At 39.6% G+C, this 24104-nt stretch overlaps 2 long non-coding RNA genes across 7 annotated transcripts in view; one reads left to right on the top strand and one right to left on the bottom strand.

The window, feature by feature from the left end:
* Positions 1-20512, bottom strand: part of LINC02199 (long intergenic non-protein coding RNA 2199) — a 41794-nt gene extending 21282 nt beyond the window's left edge. Inside the window, exon 1 of the long non-coding RNA NR_109932.1 lies at positions 20286-20512. This is a non-coding gene — a long non-coding RNA (long intergenic non-protein coding RNA 2199). The remainder of the gene's footprint in view (positions 1-20285) is intronic.
* Positions 15753-24104, top strand: part of LOC101929307 (uncharacterized) — an 88088-nt gene continuing 79736 nt past the window's right edge. For 3 of the 6 annotated variants that reach the window (XR_007058687.1, XR_007058685.1, XR_007058686.1), the window contains exon 1: positions 15753-16526. This is a non-coding gene — a long non-coding RNA (uncharacterized LOC101929307). Of the gene's footprint in view, positions 16527-16765; positions 20691-24104 lie in introns of those variants that run through there. The other 3 variants (XR_925772.4, XR_925771.3, XR_925773.3) reach the window with 1 other exon arrangement.

Here is a 24104-nt window from a genome sequence, read left to right as displayed (position 1 = left end):
TTTTCCTGATGATAGTAATGTTGAACATTTTTCATATAGCTCTTATCCATTTGTGTGTCTTCCTTGAGAAATGTTTATTTAAATAATTTGCATTTTTAGTTAGTTTTTTAGTGTGTGTTTTGTTGTTTGCTATTGGATTGTATGAGTTTCTTATACATTTTAGACATTAACTATTTATAAGATTCACGGTTTGCAAATATATTTTCCTATTCAGTACATTGTCTCTTCAGGCTGTTGACTCTTTGGGCTGTTGATTCTCTATGCAGAAGCTATTGACTTTGATGAAATCCCATTTGCCTGTTTTTGCTTTTGTTGTCTGTGCTTTTGTTGTCATAGTCAAAATATCATTGCCCAGACCAATGTAAAAAATATTTTCCCGTGTTTTTTTCTAGTAGTTTTACAGTTTTAGGTATTACATTTAAGTATTTAATCTATTTTGAGTTGATTTTTTAATATACTATAAGATAAGGGTCCAATTTTATTTTTTTGAATGTAGATATCTTGTTGTTCCAACACAATTTATTTAATAGATTGGGTATTCTTATTGGGTATTCTTGACACCCTTGCCAAAGATCAGTTAACCATAAATGTATGAATATATTTCTGGGCTCTATTCTGTTTGATCGGCCTAAATGTCTGTCTTTATGCTAGTGCCATATTGTTTTGATTCCTGTATCATTCTGCTACATTTTGAAATCAGAAAGTATGATGCCTCCATCTGCGTTCCTGCCCAAGATGGCCATGACTATTCAGGGTCCTTTGTGGTCTTATTGAGAGAACAAGTAGAAAGCCTCAACAGACATAAAGAATATAGAAGTGAACCAGATGAAAATTCTGAAAGTGAAAAGTTCAACAAAATAAATAAAAAATTAATTGAATTACTTAACAGATGACTGGAGTTAGAAGACAGACAATAGAAATTAACCAATCTGAGAGATCCCAATTGAAAAGAATGACCAGCTCTTCAAGAAGTTATGAGCAACATCAAATGATCTGGTATATATGTTGTTGGTTCCTTAGAAGGAGAAGAGTGTATAATTAGAGCAGAATAAAATATTTGAAGAAATAATAGCTAAAGCCTTTCAATGATTGATAAAAAATTACTCATGCATTCAAAAATCTCAGTGAGACCCAAGTAAAATAATTACTAAAGACCCAAAACTAAACACCTTATACTCAAAATGCCATAAACCAAAGTTTTAAAAGAAAATGACCTTGAGAGTAGCCAGAGGAAATAGACACATTATGTACAGCGGGGAAAGGATGAGAATAACTGGGGATTTCTAAAAGATAACAGAAGTGCAGTTTTTAAAGTGTTGGATATTAAAAAAAGAAAACAAAAATCTCTTCTCAGAAAAACATCTTCCAAAAATGAGAACAAAATCAAGATACCTTCTTACCAACAAAAGCTGGGACAATTTGCTGCCAGCACACCTGTACTGCAAGATTTTCTAATGGCTGTCCTGACTGAAGGAGAATGTTTCTAGTTGGAAACATGGATCTACAGGAAGGGATGATAAGCACCATGAATGGTGACTAGATGATTAACTATAAAATATGATATGTTCTTTCTTCTTTTAATTGATTTAAAATAAAACTGACTTTTGAAGAATAAACAATAACACTGTAAAGCAAGTTTTTTGACAAATTAAGAAGTAAAATGTATAACAAAAATAGCAACAATTAATAACCCTATGAAGAAGGTACTTTATTACTCCTTGTATTATGGAAGAAAAAGGAGAGCACTGTCAATTAAATAGCTTACCTAAAACCACATGGTCAGCAAGTGAGATCACGACCTGGCTTTCCACCCTGCTCTGTTTTTCACTGTTATTATCCCCCTCTCTTATTAAGTTTTCATAGCATTTGTATAATTAAATTTTCACATTATGTTTATATGATGAACATTATATTATATGTAATACCATTATATTATATTGACTCATTCTTATACTTTCATACTTTATTCAGTTTCCTTAGATTTTATCTAATATCCTTTACTTATACCAGGATTCCATCCAAATTACCAAATTAAATTGAGTAGTCCTGTCTCCTTAGGCTCTCCTTGGCTGTGGCAGTTTCTCAGACTTGCCTTGTTTTTAACAACCTTCAGAATTTTGAGGACTGCTGGTCAGGTATATTGTAGAATTCTTCTCCTTTGGGGTTTGCCTGATGTTTCTGTCTTGATTATATTTGGATTGTGGGTTTTGGGAAAGAAGATCACAGAAATAAAGTGTCATTTTCATCACATTGTACCAAGGGTATGTACTATGAAAATGAACATAACTAATTGCTATTGATGTTAACTATGATCACCTGGATGAGCCAGTGTTTAACGTATATCAATAAGTAACATAACATGAGGCTGCATTAAACAACTGGAAATATGATAGATACATTTTAAGGCTGAGTTAAATGACACAGCTTTTTATGACTTTCAAGGGTGGTACATTTCTAAATGGTCTTATTATTAAGAGCTATGAACTGCTCAATAGTAGATTAACTTTATAAAATAGATGTTATTTTACCCAATCTAAGAACTTCTGATTTTTAAAGGCAATGTTAACAAAAATGAAAACAGACTTCATAGATTGGAAGAAAATATGTGCAAATCACATATTTAATAAAGTGCTTGGATCTTGAATATGTAAAGAACTCTGAAAACTCAATAAAGGGAAACAAACATGTTAGTAATAAAACGGGAAAAGATTTCAAAAGATTTCATCAAGGAACATGTAAGAATGGCAAATACTCACATAAAAGTTTCTCAAATTCTAGTCATTAAGGAAATGCAAATTAAAATCAATACACCTATAAGGAGAACTAAAAGTAAAAAGACAGCTTATAAAAACCGCTGGCAATGATGCAGAGTAACTGGAACTATCACACACTCTCAAGGAGAATGTAAAATGGCACAACTACTTAGAACTAACAGTTTGACAACATCTTAAAAGTTAGAATTCCAAAGTTAAAAGCTTCATATGACTTAGACATTCCACTGCTAAGTATTTAGCCAATCTAAATGAAAACATCTGTCCATCTGTTGTTTCCTGATCTTTTAAAACACTGTTACACTGTTGGCGGGAGTGTAAACTAGTTCAGCCATTGTGGAAGACAGTGTGGCAATTCCTCAAGGATCTAGAACTAGAAATACCATTTGACCCAGCCATCCCATTACTGGGTATATACCCAAAGGATTATAAATCATGCTGCTATAAAGACACATGCACACATACATTTATTGTGGCACTATTCACAATAGCAAAGACTTGGAACCAACCCAAATGTCCAACAATGATAGACTGGATTAAGAAAATGTGGCACATATACACCATGGAATACTATGCAGCCATAAAAAAGAATGGGTTCATGTCCTTTGTAGGGACATGGATGAAGCTGGAAACCATCATTCTCAGCAAACAATCGCAAGGACAGAAAACCAAACACCGCATGTTCTCACTCATAGGGGGGAATTGAACAATGAGAACACTTGGACACAGAAAGGGGAACATCACACACCGGGGCCTGTTGTGGGGTGGGGGGAGGGGGGAGGGATAGCATTAGGAGATATACCTAATGTAAATGATGAGTTAATGGGTGCAGCACATCAACATGGCACATGCATACATATGTAACAAACCTGCACATTGTGCACATGTACCCTAGAACTTACAGTATAATTAAAAAAAAAAAAAAAGAAAAGAAAACATCTGTCCGCACAGAGACTTACATGCTAATGCTCATCGTAGCTTTATTATCAATAACCAACAACTGGAAAAGTCTAGATGCCCATGAGCAGGTGAGTGGGTGCTCAAACCATCCTATACCCATACCATGAAATATTTAGAATATTAATAATCAAACAGAATGAATGATTGTATTGATACACACAACAACCAGAATAAACCACAACATATGAGTGAAAGAAGTATATTTTCCGAGTTGTGTACATGTATCCCTGTAAATATACCTACTCTACAATTCTGCGAGACTCAGCTAGATCAGTGTTTGCCTGTGGATGGGTGTGCTGAAGAGGGAGAAGAATTTTAAAATGCCACAGGCACTCTTACGAGTTGATGGGTATATTCACTCTCTCGATTGTGGTGATGGTTGTATGTTTAAGCATACATTTTATAGTTTCTATATGTGTGGGGTTTTTATGCCAATTATATCTCAATAAAACTTTTTTTAAAGCTTCAGTGAATTTATATATGTTAAAATGCAACAGTAAGTCATCTTTCCTTACATTTTTAACCTTCTTATATTAAATTATCTCTAATGTATTCTTAATGAAACTGGAAATTGGCACATAAATGATTGTGAGAGTTGCTTCTAAATATTTTTGTTAGCTTTTTTGCTTTGTTTCTCATATTTAACCTTTAATTAAGCTTAATTTATAATGGATAAATAATTGTTTAAAGTAGTGTCCTGCTGAGTAGAACATGGTACTTAATCTAGTGGAGCTGCTGATGTGAGACTCTGCTTTGTCACTCTCAATTAATTGAGTATCGTTAGTGGTTATTTATTAAAGAGCATGCTGTTATTTAGAGTTTTCGGCCAGAACAGTTTACTTAGTGTAGTGACTAAAAGAATAAATTCCCACACTATTTAGAAAGGAGCTCCAAGTCCGTAAGTGAAATCCCATTTTTAAGAAAATCCTGACCATTTTGTAATAGTTTATATATTTTGTAATAAGTATTTCTACTTCTATACCTTAGCATTAATCATGAACACTGGAAAAGATATTCAATAAAAATAGTTTTAGATAACTATGGCAATGACTGGCTCTAAATACTTCTTATAAAAATTCTGGTGACTGTTGTGAATTAATTGCCAGTAAAATAAGTTATGCCTCTTTATTTGCATTTTCGAAGACACATATTTAGATTAGAATTTAATATGACGTTATCTTTGATACTTTATACCTTTGACAATGTTTTTAGTTGTATATCCTGAGTGGAAGGGAAAGAAAATTCCATGGGCAATCAGCCATATTCATTTTTAAGGAGTTCTTATTTTTTTAAATGAACATTAAATTTTACAATACTTTTAGATTTACAGAGAAAATGCAAAGATAGTTTGGAGAGTTCCTGTATACTCTATGTTCCATTTCTCTTGTTGTTAAGGTCATATGTTTTATAGTATACTTGTCACAACTAGTGAACCAATATTGTTATATTATTATTAACACTATACTTTATTTGGATTATAAAAAGTTTTTCTCTGATGTGTTTTTTTCTGTTCCAGGATCTAATATGGGATAAATATCAAATTTATTCATCATGTCTTCTTATAAAGCTTATAAGAAATATATAGACCTTCTTATAAATCTCTTCCTACTACTGACTGTCAGTTTTCCTCCCTGAATTCCAAACGTGGCCATAGTTTTGTTCAGTGGAACTACACATAGGTAAGAAGAGATTTGCATTTCACGTAACAATTTTCCAAAACAGGGATTCAGATGAAATTTCTCTAAGTCATTTGCTACTGAGGCTAAACCTGCCAATTGCCTTAAACCTTTCATCTTCTTTCAACCTCTTATGGCAATGCTGTGTGTGGCCATTCTGGTTAGTCTCCTATGAGGCCTTGTCTTGTGCAGGGAGAACCCAGAAATGGAATACATAGTTCTGACTATGGTGCTGAGGACAGTGGAGGGTGATTGCCACCCATCTGGCATGATCCCTGAGCTTGCACTGAGGATATATTCACAAGGCGGAAGTGGGTCAGAGTGTCCCCACATACCTGTAGGCTTTGAATTCTGCTGATAGTTACAACTAACTGAAAAATATACAGTCTTTATTTTATAAACATCACATCTGTACTTTTCTCTATAACATTTGGCTATTTATTATCTCAGTACAATAATTGTAGTTAAGTAGAAATGTAAAATCTTAGAGATATATGAGTTTTTAGAAATCATCCAACCTAAGACAGTGTGGCAATTCCTCAAAGAGCTAAAGACAGAAATAGTATTTGACCCAGCAATCCCATTACTTGGTATATACCCAAAGGAATACAAATTGTTCTATTATAAAGACACATGCATGCATATGTTCATTGCAGCACTATTCACAATAGTAAATATATGGAATCAACCTAAATGTCTATCAATGATAGACTGGTTAAAGAAAATGTGGTACATATAAACCATAGAATACTATGCAGCCATAAAAAATAAAGAGGTCATGTCCTTTGCAAGGATATGGCTGGAGCTGGAGGCCATTACCCTTAGCAAACAATCACAGGAACAGAAATCCAAATACTACATGTTCTCCTTTATAAGTGAGAGTGTAATGATGAGAACCCATGGACTTATAGAGTGGAACAACACACACTGGGGTCTATTGGAGGGTGGAGAGTGAGAGGAGGGAGAGAATCAAGAAAAATAACTAATGGGTATTAGGCTTAGTATGTTGGTGATAAAATAATCCGTACAACAAACCCCCATGTCACAAGTTTACCTACGTAACAAACCTGCACATGTACCCCTGAACTAAAATAAAAGTTAAAAATAAGAAATCATCCACCTAATGCCCACCAAAATTCACATTTCAAATATTTCGATATTTTAAGGGTTAAATGTATTTTTTCTTCATCCACGTTCAACATAATGTCTTGTTTGGTATTTTAGATCACCTTGCCCTTCCACCACAGATCCTTTTAAATCTGTGGCATAGGCTATGAAATTCTTCTTTAATCTCTACTAAGACTGGACCAATGCTTGTTGTTACTAGTCCTCTCCAGTGAGGCTTCCAGACCTACCCCATGTCCTCCCCACCCTCTCCTGAACTATGATAGTTATTGGTCTACCTCCATTGTACCACAGAGTTGTTCTCTTGGCACTTTCTAATTTTATCTCTTTAGCTTTTGTCCCACTAATATCTAATTTTTTTCTTAGCCCAAATGGCACAGACCACTAGGAAGGAATCCCTTGTTGTTCTTTTATTGTACTTGTTAGATGTATTCAGGCTTAGAGCTAAGACTCTATGATAAGCAGTTTCACAACCTCTCTCTAAAGTGGCTTGCTGAAGCTCAGACAATCTGGTTTTAAAAACACAAATGTCTCATTCATAATAATGAATGTTATATCTAGCAAACTCAATGTAGGTGAAAAGAGAAAGTAGAGAAATCCTATGTGGAAATAAATGAAGACCAACCCAATGTGGAAATAAATGAAGACCAATCAAATAAGAACAGCAAAGGCTACTTATTCAGAGCTTCTCAGAGTAGAGTAAGAGATTCAACCAATGCCACCTGCATTTACCAGAGACTCCAAGACAGGCAGAAGATCTGGAAAGTTTCATGGGGGTGAAGAAAGAAGGCTCTAGGTGTGCCCTGACTGGAGGATGTTGGCCTGGGGAAGGTGCAGGTGGACTAAGGAAAAGCAGGTGTTTTACCAGATGGGTTAGGAGCATATTTGCCTTTTTTCTAGTTGGTCCTAAGTTTGAAGCAGGGACAAAAGTTAGGGAAACTGCTCATTAACAATCAAGTCCTGGCCCTTTTGGGCCAATTGTTACAGGTGTTATTGTTTGGTTTCCCATATCACTGCTAGAGAGAGTGCCCTGCCTTCCTACAAGTCTGATTTGGAGAGAGAAGGCTGGCTTCCTCGGCTGGTTACTGTAGATCATGGGTTGGTTTCCTAGGCAGGTTTGCTATAGATTATAGGAATTTTTCTGCCTCTCCAGAGTCCCCCAGATGCTGGGGTGATCCACAGGACAGTGATCACAGTTGTGCTTCCTTGAGGTTTGATTCATACCATAGCATTCCATAGAAGATGTAGGTTATAGCTCCGATGGTAATCAATTTGAAATTAAATGAACTAGTATGTTTTGGTGGTACACAGATACATCTATGCAATATCAAATGTCAATGTATTTCCTCTCTGGGAAATATTCAGTGAATTAGAAAAGGAAACACATGATGTAGCCAATTTAAAAATAGGTCTTGCTATATGGATGTTCTGATACCTTTGTAGAGTACACATGTATCTGCTGTATGTGTGATCAATCAGATTATCACGAAAGCATGGACTTCAGTCCCTCAACAACTTTGAGACCACAGGGCTTGCAGAATTTGTGGCTTGAACATCAAACAGCCTTAAGAAAGTCAAACAGAAGATGCAGAAAACTAAATTGCAATAAGAGTAAACCCTCGGGAAATAACAAATATTTATTTAAAACCAGATTTCTGTGTATTTGATGAGAAATGTCTTAGGAGTTCCTTCCTTCTCTCCTGGCACTAATGGGTATGTGGTAGTGAGTGTGGTGGGAGGATGGGAGTCATAGAATTATCTGTTTATTCTCTTCTCCTGCAATTGAATCTGAACCAATTTTGCCAGAAACTAATTTTGTTTGTTTATTTTACTATCATCAATCCCTGGGCACAGATCCCTAATCTTTCCTCCAAAAACAAAAAAAGGAGAATTTCTGATTCATGGAAGGTGCTAGCAAATGTTGTTAAATACATGCATGAATGCAGCAATGAATGGATGAATGAATGAAAGGCTTTATTGCCCTTTTCCTGTTTGTTCAAGGGGTTAGTAAAACTTTTGTATTCCATAGCTACCTTATCTTTCACATATTTAGAATAAATGCCATACTTATTGCTTCAGATGGCCTTCTTGTATTACATTCAGAGAAAGATATTGGTTGAAATACAGTATCTAAAGCGAAACACTAGTATATATTTCTCATGCGGGCTTGCTTGAGACCTTTGGGCATAAGCAATTTATCAATGAGGGTCTAAAAAAGAAAAAGAAAATTATTTTGTGTGTTTCAGACAGACACATTTAAACAGAAATAATTTAAGCAGTATTGTTTATCCACATGATGAAGAAGCTGAGCATCCATGCCGGAGTGAGTGAGGCCACCCAGGGAAGAGCCATCCTAGAGAGCTGTTGCCACCCTGGGCTTGAAGACCGGAGGCAGGCATCAGAGCCCAGGGCTGGGGCCACCCAGTGGCAAAGGCAGGCACAGAATTCTACAAGGACACAGAGGAGACCCAGGCACTGCCAGCCTCCACCTAAAAAAGGAGGAGAAGAAAAGCTCTGGTTTCTCCCTCTCCTTCCCACTCTCATTTCCTGCTGGAACTTCCTATTGGCTGAATCCTGCCAGAATAAAGCTGTCTTGGGAGAAGGGGAAATGCAGCTTGTAGGGATCAATCCTGTGTGCAGGGAAGGGGTGAAGAGTGGGATGAGGACAAAGAAAAATAAGAAGCAGCCCGGGGTGAGGGAGACAGTTATGATGAATATTCCCGAATCTAGCATGACTAGGGCCATGGCTGTGATCAAGTTATTAACTTGGATGAGCAAACCCACTGCCAGTGGAGTTTTCCTGACCCCTAATGTTCAGAAAAAAATTGATTCTAACCTTCTTTCCAACAACTGTGGAAGTCTGAAAACATTCCCCAGATCTCTCCAAATTTTTAGCAGATCTACATTTCCCCATCTATGTTGTCAATGTAGTATCTCCATGAATTAGATTGTCTTGTGTGTGTTTTAAGGAAGTCCTTATATCATTGCCCTGATATGATCTCAGGTCCAAGCAACAATTTGTTCTGCTTTATTTCCCTCATCAAAGACATTTGATACATCAGGGTAGAAGAGTCTGTACTGGAGACCTGGGGGGATGGGGAGTTACCTCGCCTACTGCGTGAGATAGAAGTTACAATGCCTGGGTCTCCTGACACTGATAATCTCTCACCCATTTATACAAATATATACCTCCATTCCTATTTTATCAGCTTTTTTCCTTTCTTTCCTACTTCTATATTAACTGCTTACTCTCTTTTGTCATGAATAGTGCCTAGGCTCTCAAAATTCTTGTTTCTGTTGGGCATTTAAGTTACCCCTGACATCACTGATAAACTGAGCTCCACACCCACCTCAAAGTATTTCACAGATCAACAAGAACTCTCCTGTGATAGGATCTTCGTGGAAAACAGAAGTTCTTAGATTGGATGAAACATTTATGGATTTTTTTTTCTCTAAGTGAATCTATTCTCAAGCAATTTACAGCTCCTAATATTGAGATCATCTAGACACTCAGCACTCTTGAAAGTCATAAAATATGTGTGATTTCACTTTGCCTTTAAGATACATCTATCATATTTAAAGTTATTTAATATACCTCAGCATTATGTCATTTATATATGTTAAACATTACCTTATTCAGGTGATCAAAGTCAACATCAATAGCAATTAGTTGGGTTCATAATATGTACCCTTGGCTGGGGGTGGTGGCTCACGCCTGTAATCCCAACACTTCAGGAGTTCAAGACCAGGCTGGCCAACATGGTGAAACCCCATCTCTACTAAAAATACAATTAGTTGGGCGTGGTGGCAGGTGCCTGTAATCCCAGATATTCGGGAGGCTGAGGCAGGAGAATTGCTTGAATTCAGGAGGTGGAAGTTGCAGTGACCCAAGATGGACCCACTGCACTCCAGCCTGGGTAACAGAGAGAGACTCCATCGCAAAAAGAAAGAAAGAAGGAAAGAAGGAAAGAAAGAAAGAAAGGAAGGAAGGAAGGAAGGAAGGAAGGACCCTTGATAAGATGTGATGAAAATGGCATTTCATTTTTGTAGTCTTCCTTCCCCAAACCCACAACTTCAATCTAATCAAAAGCAAAACATCTGTCAAGTCCCAATGGAGAGGAGGGATTTTACCATATACCTGACCAATGTTCTTCACAACTGTGGAAGTCATTAAAAACAAGGGAAATCTGAGAAAATGTCACAGCCAAGGGAAGCATCAGGAGTTATGTCTACTAAATGTAGGCTCTGCCCTCAGCCTACCCTGGGTGATGTCACCCACCTACGGTTGTTGTCATGCACTTGGATCAAGGCAGAGTAGCATCTGATTCATTGCATAAACAATGAGGCTGAGTCCCTGATGCCAGTTCTGGCACCAAAGTCAATGGCGTGAGACTCCATTTGTGGAATTTCCTCTCCACTTTGCCTGAATTTTTAAACTCCTTTTAAAATATTAAAGACAATTAAGAGTTTTACAATTGATATTGGAAATGCTATAAAATCATGACATCATGATTTTATACGATGTTTGCTCAGGGCAGATTTTCTTGTATTTAATATTTCCTTTTTGTCATTTCTGTGGTGATTTTTTTTTCATTTAACATTTAGCACTGTACTTTTCTTTTTGGTTAATCTTTCCTTTTGCTAAGCAGTGGATTAGAATAGATTAATTTCAGTGTGTTTTTCTCTGAATTTATCTTACATTAGAAACATTCTACAGGAAATGAGTTAAATATCAGCATTTTATTTTGATCAGAAATTGCAAGCTGTTGTGAAAATAGAATTTACTTTTTTTAAAGAAAAAGAATAAAAGAATATAACCAGTATTGGTAGTATTTTGACCTGAATTTCACTGCTTTCTTTAGAAAGTAGGCCTGAACGAGACAAGTTTTCTCTTCTCTGATGTTAACTGTGACAAATTTTAGAGCAACAAAAAAATTGCTTGGATTCTCAAGGGTTTTGATATATTTTCTCTGTGGCTTGATAAAAGCCAAAGCCATTCTATGAAGTGCAGGTCTTTTTGGGGTTTGCGCTCTTTTTTCGTTGATTTGGAATGAAGATTTCTGAAGCAGTGGGGATTAGCGTCAGGTCCTGATTTTGCAACTGTCTATTGTCTGCAGGACCGTATTCCAATATGCTTCTTACAAATCAACCCATGGGTGGTTGGGGCAGCTGTCGGGCTCTCTCGGCAGGGGGATCTATGAGGACAAAAGAAATAATAATAGAGAAGGCAGGAGGAAGCTTTAGGAGGTAATGGGTATCTTTATGATAAAGACTGTGGTGACGGTTCATGGGTGTATATTTATCTCCAAATTCACCAAGTTGTACACATTAAATGTGTGCCATTTTTTATATATCAATAATTCCCCCCTAAAGTGGTTTTAAAAAGAAGGAATCAACCCAGTTTGCGATTTGAAAGTTAAATACATGATTCTAGTAAATAGGAATACAAAAAGTTTGTGCCTTTAAAAAAGTGGATCACACTATAAAGCAAATACAAATCATTATCATCTTTCATCTTCCCTTTCAATTTGAGTAATTGTAGAATTTGGGTTGAGGGCTAAGGTATTACATTGTGTAAGAGTTCTAAGATAGTCCATTACATCATTGGGGAAAATAGATAGAAAAGAGCAAGACTTTTTTCACATGTGTAATGCAGGTATGTTTCCTCCAGTGAAACTACCTTTAACAGTTTTACTAATGACTTAGCTAATAAATGCTAATTCTAAAAATAAATGATCACATGAACAAAAGACAATCAGCAAATACCAAGAGCAGTAAAAAGGAAAAAGAATCATGAGAAATTTAAATACTTAATACAGGTAAATTTTCAGTGACCATTAATTCACACCCTTAGTACGTACACTCATATATACATATGCTAATTATAAGTATATATAGTATTTTACATAGAATACAAATATAGAAAATATGCACGTATGGAGTAAGAAACCTAAGGAAATGGTGCCGACATGAGAAATATCGCCTTACCAAAATATTTAAACAGTATAGCTCAGTATTAACTAATTCCCAATAATTTAAACTCAAAGTTCTAGTATTTCATTTCAGAATGGCAGATAATTATATGGGGACAATTGCTAGACCTTCTGTATTACTTTAAAATAGTTCCAGTTAGAAAAAGTAACAGCTCCCCAAAGATGTTCATGCCCTGGCTCCTGAAACCTGTGAATTTGTTCCATTACATGGCAAAAGGGATTTACCAGATACAATTAAATTTATGGATGGGGAGATTTAGCTTGGATTATCCAGAGTCAGGCCACATGAGCCCCTAAAAGCAGAGAACATTCTCCAGCAGAAGCACAGAAATAAGGCAGACAAGAATATTGTGAAATTTAAAATGTGAGAGAGACTTGACTTTGGCTTTGAAGAGGAGGGAGGTGATAAGCCAGAGAATTCAGGTGTCCTTTAGAAGCTTAGAATATCTCCCAAAAAGCTAGGAAGGAAATGGGGACCTCAGTGCTACATCCACCTGGAAGTGATTTCTGCCAACAACCAGAATAAGCTTACAAGTGGATTCTCCACTGCTTCGAGGAAGGAACACAGCTCTGTAGACATCTTGATTTCAGACTTCTGAGACCAGGAGCACAAACATCAGCCAAGCTACCTAGATTTCTGCTCTATAAAATTAGGAAACAATAAATTTGTTGTTTTAAGCCTCCAAGTGTGTGGTAATCTGCCATGGCAGCAATAGTAAAACAGTTATAATACCTACATTTACTTCATTCTTCTTTTGTTACAGAGCAATTGGAATATCTAAGCAGTACAGTTCACCTTCTACTAAGCAACCTTATATTTTGGCTTAAAATGCAGCAGCAAGAAGGGGTATGCTTGGGAGTAGTAAATTTGCCTCAGAGACAATGGTTTTCTGAGTATAGGCAAGATTCTTCTGAACTAATCTTCTGAAGTCTTCAAAGTCAGTTACTTTTTTCAGAACAAAGAGCCAATATCAAGTTGTGCAAAACAATATGGGACCAGTGAAAACAAAACTAAAATAGTTGTGCTTAATTTAAGCAATATAATAAATACTCTTATTTTTAATTATATTTAAATAAGTATATCCCTATTTAGATATGTAAAAATAACAGTTTATGATTTATTAATTATAAATTTGCTTGTTTTGTAGATTTTAAAAAGATTTTTCAAGCTTTTGTATTGGTACGGTAACACAGGCTGTACTTATATTTTCCAAACATTCAAAAACCAAAATCTTTTCTACCATGTCAGAACACACATTTTAAAATTTAGCCCTAGCTTTCACTAAAGTCACTTGTTTTTATCTAGATCTCATGAATCCTGAATGTACCACTTTGGAAGTCTGACTTTTTTTTTCCTCTTAACAAAATATTTAGTGATTAGTTTCAGCATTTGTTCAGAGCTAACAACCTGCTTTCCGTTTAATGAATGAAAAAAATCAAAGACACTTCAACTTGTTCTCAGCATTGTTGAAAGAGATACATTTCTCACTGGATATAAAACATGGTTGTCAGAAAGCAATACAGGAATTTTCATGATCTGAACTTACGTAAACTAATAATAAAAATACTCCAGTGCTGATTGTAGAATCTTGAGTTTGTTCTTTCCTTCTCAATTCTTTGCAGCACACACCAAACAGCAAAGAATTTGGACTGTCTTTTGAGGCTGGAGAAAAACTAGTACATGCCCATGGGTATTGGTGTAGGAAGATTAAGATAGGCCATCTACAGGTGATTAAGATAGACCATTTACAGGTTACTATAAGAAGGTACTCTTGCCCTGAGTCACTAAGAAAATCTCAGGGCAAGAGTACCTGCTGCAATTGCTGTTTTTGTGGAAGTGAAAATATCTCAAGCACCTAAAATGGCAGAAAGAACACTAAAATGCATTTTAAAGTATTACAGGGTATGTTCTCTTTGGCTCTGGCTTTAATTTGAAAGCCATGGAGATCACAAAAATGAAAATCCGCACAGAAACAGATCATAAGCAACATTCTTCAATAGGCTCAATGACATCAAAACATATTACACATATTAATGTATCTATTAATATGAATGAAAGACTGGTGTTTGCATTTTTCCTGAAAGAAAAAGCAGCCAATACTTTGGAATAACAGAGTTGTATCACAATCTGTCAGAGTGAGAGGTTCCTGACTCAGCTCTGACTCTTCTCCCTGTAGGTCATCTCCCAACACAACAGCAGTAGTGGCCACTGCATAGAGCAGCAGAATAGACCAAGGCCAAAGACAGAGGCCCGGGTAGAGGGTAAAATGGTCTCCGCCCTTGTTTACCTAGGGCCATAGCTCAGCTGTAACTCAGCTGTATTGTCTCAGGAATGCGCCCACATTGACTTGCTACCACTGACAGCTCTTTGGGTTTCAAACGTTTGTAGTAAATAGTCTTTCTAATGTGAACTTGGACGTTCATAGAATAAGACACAATTTCTTAAAAAACTTAATGATAAGCACTCCCATATGGGATGACAATATTTTAAAAACTCGAATCTCATTTCAAGATGAAAGCCTGAAGATGCAGATTTGAGTCTTGACTCGCTAACTGAGGTTCTCATCCATGGAATGTTCCAGCATCGCATCTGTCTTCCTGTTACTGTATGGTTGCTTGCTCCCTAAGTGAATGCATTCCCTCTTAGACAGGAAGTCCTGGACTGAGAGAAGCTGTCTGGGGGACATGAGCTGTCACCACTTGTTTCCTCAGAGAGATTTGGCAGAAGAGGCGGCTGTGCCACCCGTTGTCCTCTGCCTGCTCCCCACTTCCTCCCCATTCTGCCTGGCAGCCCAGCAAAACCTCCCAGAGGAGGACTTCCGGAGGAGATGGAGGAATGTTCTTCCTGCAAGGGCAACATATGGCAGCCAAGCTCCCTGGTTAGAGCTTCCAACAACCTCTCGGTGCCCAGTTATGGGGGATTTCTTCAGGGCAAAACAGAAATGGCTAATTCAGAAATCTCTCTGTGCTTTTTTGCTGATTTTGTTACTTAAGTTGCTTTAATGGGTGTATGAAAGCAGAATCTAAAATTAATAAACAGACTTTTCCAAATCATTTCTTTTTAAAGTTATTCACCCGAAGCAATCAGGATGAAAGTATAAAGGAACTGCCAAGACGGGTTGACAAATGAAAGTTAAGAAAGAGAGAAGATCTGCTCAACTGTTTCTAGCTGGCTTTCTTTCCATGGATAACGGAACCCATGCAGTCAGCTGAGAGCAACGCCAAGATCAAGGCCCTGCAGGGCAAGGAAGAGAAGGAACACTAGGAGCACTGTGTTTACAGGGATCTAATTTTTCATTTTGAAGGGTTGCCACATCACTTTCCCAAGCTTTTTAGAGCATTGTGGGGCTTTAACAAGATGTGTATGCAAGGATTGGGTGAAATTCCAGTGCCCATGTTTCCCGGGGAGTCTGTAAGAGGCTCTCTCCATCCCCTTCTTACTCCTGCGTCCTGCAGAACACACACACAGTCACACATTCTTTCACCAAACATGGCCTCACTCTCACAAAACACTCACAAAAGTACACTGACAGTCACACAGGATCACAAACATGCACTAGAAATCTGAAACACACATATCCAACCTCTCTCTGTGACAAAAAGACACTATCCATACACACACACACACACGCTCGTCTGCTCTGCTGAGTCACCAGTCTTGGGTCTCAGCCTCAGCACGTGTGGGGCCTGCCCTGTGGGAAGCTGTTGAACACAGAGGGAAGGGGAGGTTGCACTGTCCACCTCCTCATTACCATAATGATTGCGTTCAGCATCCTTCATTAGCACACAGGAGCACTAAGGGTTGGAGAGGACGTGCGTCAGCTCTACACACACAGCTGCTCACATCACTTGACATGTGTATTTGCTGGGACACTTGGGAATGAAATGGCTTGTGCAATTTAGTCTCGTGTCAGTCTTCAGCTTTAAGTTTCAAGTGATCCTGCTCTTGCAATAAATACAATGGAGAAAGCAGCTTTTCTTCAAGGACATCTGAAAGCCACGTGAGTACCATTCTTTGATAAACATTCTCATTCCAACTGATGGAACGAAAAGCCAGGAACAGGGTCCCAGGGAGGCCAAAGGGGTTCTCAACTGGGAATGAGGAGCCATGCCTTCAGGACTCTGCTGCGCCCCAACAGCAGGCACAGGAGGCGCAGTCCCAGTCTTTCCCCCATCTTGCCTGCCTTTCCCCCACCTCGCCTGCCTTTCCCCTCTGGAGTGAATGGGGTGAGAGCTCTGCTCAAGCCTCAGCCTCCAGGACACTTCATCATACCAGCTGCCTCAGGCAAATTAAGCACAACAAATGCTGATCTGTTCAGGGCTCCTCCCTGTTTATTGCAAGACTGTGGTTCTCAAACTTGACCTTTTGGGACACTTACAATTACCCTTGACTTCTGATTCTCTCCATGATGATCTAATAATAGCTGAGTATGGATATTCTTTGTCAAGTGAGGTCTCTCCCTCCACATTTGCTTATGGAATCAAGTGACAGTCACCCCATGTTCACTCTGTGCAGATAGCAGGTGATGCCTCCAGTAGAACAGACAGGAAATAGACTAGCAGAGAGAAACTTGCAAGCCAGAGGGCAGCAGAGGCAGCACAGGGCAGAGCTGGACAGTGAGGAAACTGAACATCAGCTGCTGGAGCAGCTGCCGTGAGGGAGCTGGTGGGGTTCATCTCAAGATGCTATGCTGCTGGGGCCGACCATCAGTGGGAGGTCCGATGCTCACCCGGACATAACATGTCCTGTGCACGAGCCGCACTGGAGCTGATGTCCTTTGTTTTAACAAAAGACCAATATTTCAGCCAGAAAAACCAGAGCATGACATTCAAAGACACCAATCAGCAACTGGGGGAATTTGAGAAGATGAACTAAACTCCTGTAACCTCAGTTTTTCTGACTGTGCACCTCACATAAAATGTGATATGGCAAGTGACAGCGGTATTTGTCATGCTTCTATTAAAGGCTCAGGTTTGGGGGTATAATTTACATATCCTAATCAATGAATTAAATACCATAATTGTCTTAGAGCTTAATAAGCTGTCAAAAGTGTGACAAAGAAGTTATGAGTCTTTATTCTAGCCCGTTTATCTGATGCACAATTATACTGAATCTCTGGAAGTCATAAGCAAAGGACCTGTAGTAAGAGACACCTGATCACTTTCCTTCTTCTTTTGACACGGGCTTTGTGCCTGCAGACTCTTTTATGGCCATGGTTCTAAATGATGTCAAATTATGAACTGTCAGAGCTCATATGTTTTTCTGATAAATGTTGAACTTTAACTACCTTTATTACACGAACATAATCAAAAGTAATTGTGCATCTGTTTACTATGGTGAGGGGTAACTGTAGAGCCACAGCTCCATCACGTCATGTCTGCATGCTGAGCTCTCCAACACAGATCAGGCTTTACACACACATGGAATAAGTGAATGCTGAAGGAATGAAATCAACCGTACTCTTGTTATGCTTCACCATCAATTGGGCTCTCATCTGAAAATCACAGACTCCAGAGATCTGCTGGGCTAAACCTTCTGTTTCGTTTTGAGGAGGATGAAATCCGATGGATGGGGTCATCAACCAAGGCCATGGTATGACCAAATGTCTAGAAACCATGGCTGGGGGCCCTGGTGCCATCACATGAGCCAGTGTCTAGAAACCATGTCTGGAGGCCCTGGTACAGCACTCTGCCCCCACCGACTGCATCCTTCTGTGAGTCCTAGGATCTTGGAAAATGTAACTGAGGTAAAATAAGGAGACAAAGGAACCTGATTCTAAAACAACCAGAAATAGTGAAATTGTGTCCTGATCACCTCTCCTGGGTGCAGTAAACACTCCCTGCTCTTACAGCTCGAATGCCCAGCCAGCCTTAGATCTCCTCAGGCTGCCGGGCCTGGGACTGAGGTGGGGTTTTTCCCAAATGTTCCATCCTACTCAGGTGCTCCATGCCCTGGATGAGGAACGAGGGTGTTTGGACCCTGACAGAATGTCGGGACCCCAGCGCATCCTTCCCTGGAAGTGACACAAAGTGTCCCCTTAAGTCAGCACAGAGAAGACTTTTGTAAAAAAAAAAAAAAAAGAAATGAACCCATTGCGTATGGAATTAGTGGGTTCTTGGTCTCGCTGACTTCAAGAATGAAGCTGCGGACCCTCGCGGGTTTGTTACAGTTCTTAAAGAATGGTGTGTCCGTAATTTGTTCCTTCCTCCCGGTAGGTTCGTAGTCTTGCTCACTTCAGGAGTGAAGCTGCAGACCTTCCCGTGAGTGGTACAGTTCCTAAAGGTGGCACATCCAGAGTTGTTGCTTCCTCCTGTGTGGAATTGTCTGGAATTGTTCCTTCCAGCTGATGGGTTCGTAGTAAGGGTTCGTAGTCTGGCTGGCTTCAGGAGTGAAGCTGCAGACCTTAGCGGTGAGTGTTACAGCTCTTAAAGATGGCGCAAATTAGCCAGGCATTGTGGTGGGCGCCTGTAGTCCCAGCTACCGGAAAGACTGAAATAGGAGAACGGCGTGAACCTGGGAGGCGGAGCTTGCAGTTAGCCGAGACCACGCCACTGCACTCCAGCCTAAGAGACAGAACAAGAATCTGTCTCAAAAAAAAAAAAAAAAAAAAAAAGGTGGCACAGTCCCAAACAATAAGCAGCAGCCAGATTCACTGCAAAGAGCTAAACAACAACGTTTCCACAGAGCAGAGAGAGAACCCGAGCAAGCTGCAGCGGCCTGCTCTGGTGGCCTGCTTTTAGTCCCTTATTTGGCCCCACCCACATCCTGCTGATTGGTCCGCTTTACAGGCAGCTGATTGGTCCATTTTACAGAGAGCTGATTGGTCCGTTTTGACAGAGAGCTGATTGGTGCATTTACAAACCTTTAGCTAGACACAGAGTGCTGATTGGTGCGTTTACAATCCTTTAGTTAGACACAAAAGTTCTCCAAGTCCCCAACCGTCCCAGAAGCCCAGCCGGCATCATCTCTCACTGGCTCTCGCTGCGGAACTTGGCGGGCCGGGTAATCCGGCAGCCCAGAGGGAGCTAGTTCCAGACAATCAAGAGGAAAAGAGGGGAAGAGAGAAAGAGACGGAGATCGGCTATGGTGGCCAACAATCCCGCGAAGAGGGAACGGTGGTCCACGCAGGGATTCAGTCTCCGATCAAGCCCAGCAGGCGCCGGCCGGCCACGCCGAGTGCGGGGCTTGCAGAGCCGGAGCTCACCTGGAACCCAAGCGCTGGGCCGCGAGCGCCGCGCGCAGCGCCGGCTCCAGCCAGTGCCTTTCTCTTCACACCTCCCCGCCAGCAGAGGGAGCAGGCTCCGGCCTCCGCCAGCCCCAGAGAGAGGCCCTCATAGCGCAGCGGCGGGCTGAAGAGCTCCTTGAGCGCGGCCAGAGCGGACGCCGAGGCCGAGGACGCGCCCAGAGCCAGCAAGGGATGCTACCACGCTGTCACCTCTCACCGTGAGCCACAACTGCTGGTCCTGCGTTCACGGCTTTCCTTTGTCTTTCAGGTGGAGACGCGCTGACCTGCCCCAATACCTATTGTTGTTTGTTAAATTACTCCAAGATACTTATAGTTAACGGCAAACACCCATTTATAACCACAAATCATGTCAGATGTTCAGGACCAGCACAATCAATCAAGTAAACAGCACCCTCCTTGAGTATGTGGCAGGTGTGTGAGGATTTCATGAACCTGTCCTGCATTTCCAAATCCATCCTGAGGCCTCTCCCTGGACACAGGTCTGTGGATCAGCCTGTACTCGGGCAGTTTTACCTTCTATGTCTGTTTGTCACGGTCCTCTTGTCCTAGTGCTCATCACTGCACGTTCCCAGCTCCAGCAAGTGGCCACTCTTTTCCCTCCACAACCAAAGGCCCGACGGCCCAGCCCCCCGGTGGCAGGTGGCCCTTCCATGGCTGAGGTCACACACCCAGCATCGCATCCTGCCCTTCTCGGGGCCTCGGGCCCCTTCGACTCGTCTCCAGGGATTGCACTTGCTCCTGCTGCCCACGGAGGTTTCCTTCCTGTGATTCCACTCGGAGGGGGCGCTTTTCTTTGCTGGCTTCAACCATCACAGAGCTGCTTTGTGTTCGCCGGCAGCTGCCACGCTTCCCTGAAAAGGCGGCTTCTGTTCTGCTGGAGATGAGCTGATTTGCCTGGCAGCCAACTTAAACAAGGAGGTACTTTGAGACCATTTTTTTGGAATCTTTGTCTTTTTCTCTCGACATTCAGCTTCGTAGTTGTAAAACTCTAAATACTCGTGGGGTTTAACACAAGGCTCGGGGGTTTTGAGGATTCCAAAGTGATTCCTGTATACAGTTATGACCACAGAACAAATTCACAGGGGAGAACAGACCATTCATTGTGACATTTGACACCGGACAGCAGATGATACAGTGTCCCCCTTATCTGTAAAGAAGGCAAAGTTTTGTTTCTGGTTTCCGAATCCAGAAATTAATAGTTCACTTAATTGCTAGGAATCTTCAAGGGTATGGTAGGCTCTGAGCATTGACCTGGCCCCTTATTTCCTGGCAATAAGTAACAGTTCCTGAAATTCTTTTTCTGCTATTAAATGTAACCTGCGACTTGAAGAAGCATTTTAGTTATTTACTCTCTCTGTGAACAAAAAATAACAATGCAGGCTGGGCAAAGTGGCTCACACCTGTAATCTTCACACTTTGGGAGGCCGAGGTGGGTGGATCACCTGAGGTCAGGAGTTCAAGACCAGCCTGGCCAACGTGGTAAAACCCCATCTCTACTAAAAATAGAACAAATTAGCTGGGCGTAGTGACAGGCACCTGTAATCCCAGCTACTCAGGATGATGAGACAGGAGAATTGCTTAAACCTGGGAGGCAGAGGTTGCAGTGAGTTGGGATCGCACCACTGCACACTAGCCTGGGCAACAAGAATGAAACTCCATCTCAAATAATAATAACAACGCTCAGTGCTCATCTTGTTTCTTGCTTTCTCCCAAAATGTTAGTAGTTAAATGTAAAAAATGAATTCCCTCTTTAGTTAAACTAGCTTCCTGTGTGGTGTCCACTCGATGACATACCATAGCAGGGATCCCTTGTGTAACAAACATCCCTCTTCAAAATAATGAGGACTTTCTTTAGTCCCCAGACAGCCTTTAGTGACACATTTTCTTGTCTCCACTGCCCTCTAGTACGTGAATATAACCTCTCAGTAGCTACGCTCCCAGGTGGCACCAATGAACCATGCCTCCTGGTAGTCCTCTCCACGCTAAGTTGGGCCAGCCCTCTGTAACCAAGAGAATGTGGTGGTGGTGATGCTGTGTGACTTCTGTGACTAAGTTATAGGAAGCTTCTGTGACCCTGTGAAACATTTGCTGTGATTTTTTTAGATCACCCCCTCTGTAAAAATCCAGGTGCCAAATAAGAAGCCTAACTACCTGGAGAGCACCATGGTTTGAGGAATCCCAAATTGGCCACATGGAGAAGGTGCCTTCCTGATCTACCCCAGCTTTTCCAGACCTCTCAGTCTGGATGTCAGGTACATGGGTGAAGAGGCCTTGAGATGTTTCCAGCCTCGGCCCCAGTCTACCTGTAACTGATGGAGGAACCCAAGAGGGAAATGTCCAACTGAACTATAAACTTCCAGAACTGTGAAAGGCAATCACAAATTGTTGTTTTAATCCTTTTAGTTTTCAGATGGTATACAGCAATAAACAGAACAGCACTTCATAATTGACCAAATGGGAGAATGTGTGTTTGAGAATTAACAAAACCATTTTGAATTGTAACTAATGAGAATACTTTTTTCACCCACACAACCCCCATCCTTTCAGCAAATACCCTTTATTTAAATTCTTAGTTTTGGGAAATATGTATTTTGGAAAATATGTATACATATGTATAATGTGTACATATACATGTCAATCACCTGGGTCATAAAGATCCTAAATTTATCTGCAACACAATATGATCTTTGCAATTGTCACGTAAACTTTCTTGAAATCTCATAATCCCGAAAAGCGTTATACACAGAATACAGACATTTTTATTGGATACAGGACCCAATTTTAAATTTGCCCTTACTTGTTAGCCTTTTGGAATGTCTGACATCTTACAAATTCAAAACTGTTCTTTGCATGTTTGGAAAATTTAATAGCATTTTCTGAAGTGTCTCCACAGAATGTAACTTTTGGTTAACTTCATGTAACTCATATGAAAGAAAAAAAGCCAGTTTTTGAGACTCTCATCTTAGAATGATGGCATTTAATGCCAGAGAAAAACATGGAGATAGTCCAGCCTAACAACACATGTGTTCTTAATCCTGTAATCTGTTTTCCGCACTCCATGGAGAATGGTATTTTAGATTTAAAAGCAAATTTCAGCATGTCTTTCTTCTAATAAAAACTTTAAACGATTTTTCAGGGCTTGTAGGATGTAAAGACCAAAGTTTTTAATATATGTATGAGATCTCTGCATGGTTTCATAATATTATAGCTACTGTTCAATAAAAGTATTGCACTAATTCCATATTCCAATGGAAAAAATAGACACCTAACAGCATACAAATATTTTAAGGATGCATTAAATACTGGAAGACAATACTATTTAAAACTTGGCACAATTAAATATATACATAAACACTGAAAGCAAAAGATTAAAAAGCATAAATGGCATAACAAATTTAACTCAATAAAATTATATATTTTCTAGAATCAATAACACAATCAAAATAAACAAAGAAAGTGAAGGAACAAATTGGGAGGAAATGTTTATTACATGCACCTAACAAAGGGTTCTAAAAATTGATACAGGAAAAAGTAGCAAAAGCAACAAATAAATAATTGACAAAGGATATGAATGGGCATTCATAAAACATAAAGAAATGGATATGAAAAATAAAAATATTATCTCTCTCCAGTCATCAGAAATCTGAATACTAAATGAGCAACCTTGTTGCACATCCTGATCAAATAAAAATCAAAACCAAAACCAAAAAAGTAAATTACCTGAAAAATTTAGTAATGACAATATTGCAGGAAAGTAGCCTTTTCCTACCAAGTGGTTCTATTATATTTTAAATATGTTTCAACGGATGTCTTTTTTGAGACATATGATGTTTTTACACAGAAGACTGAGATGACAGGGTTCTCATCTGTTGTCCATGAGTCAGTAGATCCCATTTAGGGAAATCTAGTCACTGCTATGCTATTAAAACTTGTCACATGGGCTTGGAGGATGGTGGTGGGAGGTGGGTGGAGGGTCCTAGAGGAGTCATCATTGTAAAAAAGAAATGTTTTAATGATTCACCTCACCTGGAAACAAGTGAAAGTGAGACCCTGACATCCTCCAATATTATTGCAACCATGAGTTAGATGAATCCTCTCCTGGGACTCTCATTTAGACTTAAATATGTATAAATTTATGTATTTATACGTATGTATATACGTATACGTGTTGCTCTGACTTTAATGAGACACCAGTTTTATAACAGTACCAGTAAAGATGACTCTGGCTTTCATATTTGACATTTTTAGTCGTCTTCATCCTTTACCAGTATTCACTTTGAATGCAAACCTCTGTTTCAAACACCTCAGGAGCTTCCAGCAGAGGTTTTTCCA

This window comes from Homo sapiens, chromosome 5 (genome assembly GCF_000001405.40).
Source record: "Homo sapiens chromosome 5, GRCh38.p14 Primary Assembly".
Lineage (NCBI taxonomy): Eukaryota > Metazoa > Chordata > Mammalia > Primates > Hominidae > Homo > Homo sapiens.
Note: the sequence above shows the minus strand (reverse complement) of the source record. Positions and strands in the feature narration are given on the sequence as shown.